Source organism: Homo sapiens, chromosome 11 (assembly GCF_000001405.40).
Source record: "Homo sapiens chromosome 11, GRCh38.p14 Primary Assembly".
NCBI lineage: Eukaryota > Metazoa > Chordata > Mammalia > Primates > Hominidae > Homo > Homo sapiens.
The window spans coordinates 37,501,726-37,506,148 of NC_000011.10; the positions used below are offsets into that span (position 1 = coordinate 37,501,726).

At 36.9% G+C, this 4,423-nt stretch overlaps 1 annotated feature.

The window, feature by feature from the left end:
• Window positions 2,850–4,049: an enhancer, noted in NCBI's record as "CDK7 strongly-dependent group 2 enhancer chr11:37526125-37527324 (GRCh37/hg19 assembly coordinates)". NCBI's record gives its function as "activates an origin of replication core promoter dependent on BRD2, BRD4, P300/CBP, MED14 and CDK7 cofactors, with strong dependence on CDK7, by STARR-seq in HCT116 cells {active_cell/tissue: HCT116}" and the evidence as "EXISTENCE:reporter gene assay evidence [ECO:0000049][PMID:35650434]".

Genomic DNA, 4,423 nt, shown 5'->3' on the forward strand with positions numbered 1-4,423 from the left:
ATCAGAAGTGTTTCATTGGTTGTTTCGCTCATATTATCAGAATTACATCATGATAATTTTCTTAGAAAAATACCCATGAATTTCATGAGTAAAACAGAAGACAAAAACATAGAAAAACACAGGAAAAATGAGAATTTCCCTGGAAAAACTAAGATTTCTAGTGTTTGGAATTGGGAGCGTTGGTAGAGTGAGGGTGGAAGTGTGAATATTCATGGGCATAAGTTTCTCTCCCATATTGTGACACCAGAGAAACAAAATTTTCTATCACTATTTCATAGGAGATGTCCTAAATTAATTCCCTGAAACAGAAGAAATCCTCAAATATAAGTCAGTAAAGCCAGCTTTATAAAATTTGACATGTCATTTTACTCGTCAACATCATAAGAATTTCCTGTCTAATTGAGATGTTACCATCCTGACTCCCAACTCCATTTACATGAATCTTAATTTCTTAAGGTCTTTCATGGTATGCCGAGAATAAATTCAACATAGGACAAAATGATTAACATTTTATATCTGTATCTCCAATACGACTGTCCTAGCATTCCATGAAACTGAGATCAGGTTTTCATTTGCACTTTCAGCAAATGTTATGTTTACATATTTATTGCTGTAGGTATGCTTCTAAAGGATATGTGGCTTGTAGGATTTGCTCAAATTGAAATTGAAAGTAAATTGTCCAATTGCAATGTTTGTAAGAATCTTCTTGCTATTCTGCTTGTCATTTCTTGCTATTTGCTTTAGTGATTTCACAACCCTTGAAAAATATTTCATTTTAATATGATTAATTGACTTTTTTTTATCGACTAAGGATTTTTGAGAGGCAAAATCAGAGGCCATGGTGTAAAGACAGATGCAAAATAATTTTATAGGAGTGAATTAGAAGCAGATGGCATTAAGTAGGTCTAATTGTTCATGAGGGTATATGGAGAATGGGAAAAGAGGATATTAAGTTATGACATGAAATGATGGCTGTGTGCCTATACCTATCGAGCATTGTTGCAGCAATAGGAGGGTTTTGATTCACCTTTATGGAGATCATGTTTTTGTAGTATTTCAGAGGGTTTTTTTTTTTTTTTTTTTGAGGAAGGTAGCTACCATTCAGTCCAGGGAGTTGTAATTTCTTTGAATTCACATAGCTTTTAAGTAATAGAGTTGGGATTCAAACCCATGTTTTTCTGATCTCAAACTTTTATCTCCTGCACCACACTATCAAGAGAATGATAGGGCCAGATAAGAGCATTCAGCTAAAATCTCATGTGCTATATTACAGAGTCATCCTGGGAAGATGTAAAACCACATGACTCTGACTATTGTAGTGGGTAATAGTGGAAACTTACTCTTCTTATTTTTTCTTCTGATCTAGAGCCTTGTACTTGCACTAATTTTTAATCATTGAAACTCTATTGAAAGGTATCCGTATCAGACAGTGATCTGGGCTTCTGAAGATCATTTTTTATACCCAAATGATATTTTCTCATAAGGTAGATAGGATAGATATCAATAAAGTATGTGGTTTCATTTGAATGGGATCCAGTGTTCCTAATGTGAAACAAATGAGGATTGTTCTTGTATAGGAAGCCACAGCCCAAATTCAAGAGACAGAGACTGTACACCAACAATGTGAAGATGCTCAGGATTAATGTTATGACCAGTGTTTGCACAAGGAGCCAAGTAAGCGAAAAGAAGCAGCAGATCTGGAACCTGTGAGAAAGGCCCCACCCTATCTTTGAAATTTAGGGTGACATATCAGGGTGCTGTGAATTTCAACTGAGCGGCTTGTTAACTGTGGGGCCCCATGTCTCAGAAACTCATTTCCTTCACCCAGGGACAATAATTGGTCTTGCTTCATTGGGTTGTTGTAGGGAATAAATGTGTGACTATAAAACATTACCTAGTTTCTACTACACATTAATAGTATATGCTAAATGTTGGCATCCTCTGCTAGCCACTTTCTGTTCCACAAGTGAAAATGGGGGAAGAAACAAGTAGTATTGCATAAATATAAATGTTGGCTTTTAGACTCAGAGTTCAGTAACCCCGTATCTTTGGTTTCATTGTGTTGCTCTACCAAATGTAATCACTACAATATATCAGTATGTTGACCTTCAATGAAAGCCATTATTATAAGCCTTTCTGGTTCATTTCCTGCTGACATCTATAGCACAAGTGACAGTATCATAGGGGATGGAGACAATTTAAAGCAGAGATGTGAATGCAGTGGGAAAGTGCCTGCAATCCAGACTTTTGGAGGGAAATACATGCAGCTTTGGGGTTTCATCTTACAATAACCACATTCATTTGGTAACATCCTTATCAAAATCAGGGGCATTTTGTGTCTTCATTAATCTATAAAGTCTTAGCACAACTATTAGGCTTTGGAAGTAACAACGACAGCATGTGGACCTCATCACATCCTTACTAGACCCCAAGCGGTAACCACTGCTCTAAAGTTAGTAACAGCTGATTCATAATCAAATAAGCTGAGGTTGAAAGTGAGAGGAAGCACTATTTTTGCTCTGGCAACCTGGAGTAAAGAATGTGGCCCTCTATGTTTGATGATTGTTCCACTGACTGAGTGTGGCAATAAGTAATGACTCAGAGCTGCCTCCTTCCTTGCCCTCAGAGCTGAAAGCATCCCTATTAAATTGAAGACCAGTGCTTTGCTTTCATTACAGTGGGGACTGCTCTTGCCAAAAGGGAATTTTCCTTAATTAATGAGAAAGGACTCTTTTCAAGCGCTACACAATGAGGTCATTGCAATGCAACTTTCTCAGCAAAGAGCAGTCTGTCTCTGAATACTGGACTTTGTAGCTGAGGTGGAGAGGCACTTTAGTGTAATTGTTAAGATGATAGGCTTTGGAGTCAGAACAACTGGCTAGCAAATATTGGCTGTCAGCGAATTTTTCAGTAATCTTGAGCATGTTATTTCACTTCTCTAAGCCTTGGTTTCCTTCTCAGCAACTGCAGATATATCATTTCTTATCTCATAGAATTGTTATTGAGATTAAACAAGATAAGAAGAGTAAAGCACTTATCACAGTGTTTGGGACATACTGGGTAATTATTAAGTGGTATCTATTTTATCTCAACATTGTTGTTAGTCTCTTTTTTTGGACTCATTAATGGAAGGTATATATTTTCATAAAATATGTGCCCAGGAGAAAAAGGATCAAAGGCACTCTTTATTATTCGTCATGAGTTAATGTCAAACCCTTATTACTTCCTGCATAGATTTCTAAATTATAGCTTCATAAAAACTACAGCCTAAGTAGTTATGACAAATTAGTTTTTTCTCATGGAATGTTGAGAAGGAATCTGAGACAAGACCTATGCTCACTGAAACCGAGGGCTATGATTCATAATGATATCAGCTGTGGGGGAAAAAAATGGGACCTGAGGGAACGCACGCCACCCACCCTCTATCTATGGCTAAGATAAGCAAACAGCCATCATCTTATTGGAATGAAGCAAACTGAAACCTGGATCTATTTAGTGTTAATGTTATGTAGCAGTTCTCTCTGATAATTGCCAAGTCACCAGTATTGGGTCTTGCCCTTTTAGTTTTGAGGAAATTATTTCAGATGATTGCTGTGTGTGGTATAAGCTAAGTCTGTGATTTTCAGTTTCAGAAATATATTTTAAAATTATTCAACCAATATTTCTTAACTGCTTTTTTAACACACCTTGAGTAATTACCTTTTTAAAATGCTGAGAAAATGGTGATAAATTTATACTTGTTGTGCAGCATCTCAATATTGTAAACCAAAAATAAAATTCTAAGACTCCCAACCAATTGAATGGATCCCGCCTCTCAGCCAAGGACATTCCAAAGTAAACCTGAAAAACTAGTTCAGGCCGTGATGGAAATGAGGGATTAGACATGCCTCATTATACCTTCTCCCCATGGAAGTTCAGGCACAACTAATCAGCATTCACATTAAAACAGAGGTCTCAGGACTGACCAAACGGACTCTTTGTGACAATACGGTATATCACAAAATGACAGATAGCAGGCCCTGGAAGAAATCAAAGTATTTTATCCTAAAATGTATTTCTTTGATGTATTTTAAAATAGCCCTGCAAAGCTGTCTCCTGTGGGAGAAATCTGTATTCTATAGGGAATCCCCTTCCCTTTCCAAATATTTTCCTGATCCAGGAGAGATTAACTAAGATTCTGGTACCTTTATAAGCCTGATAAGAAATATTTACCATCTAATCTCTTTGAAGCCTACTACTTGGAGGATTCATTTCTGCATAACAAGAACACTGGTCTCCACAGCCCCTTATCTTAATCCAGAAATTCCTTTCTATTGATTCCAGGCCTTCAGATAGTAACTTAACACTTTCAAGCAATTGCCAATCAGAAAATCTTTAAACCCACCTATGACATGGAAGCCCCACCTATGACCACGTTGAGTTA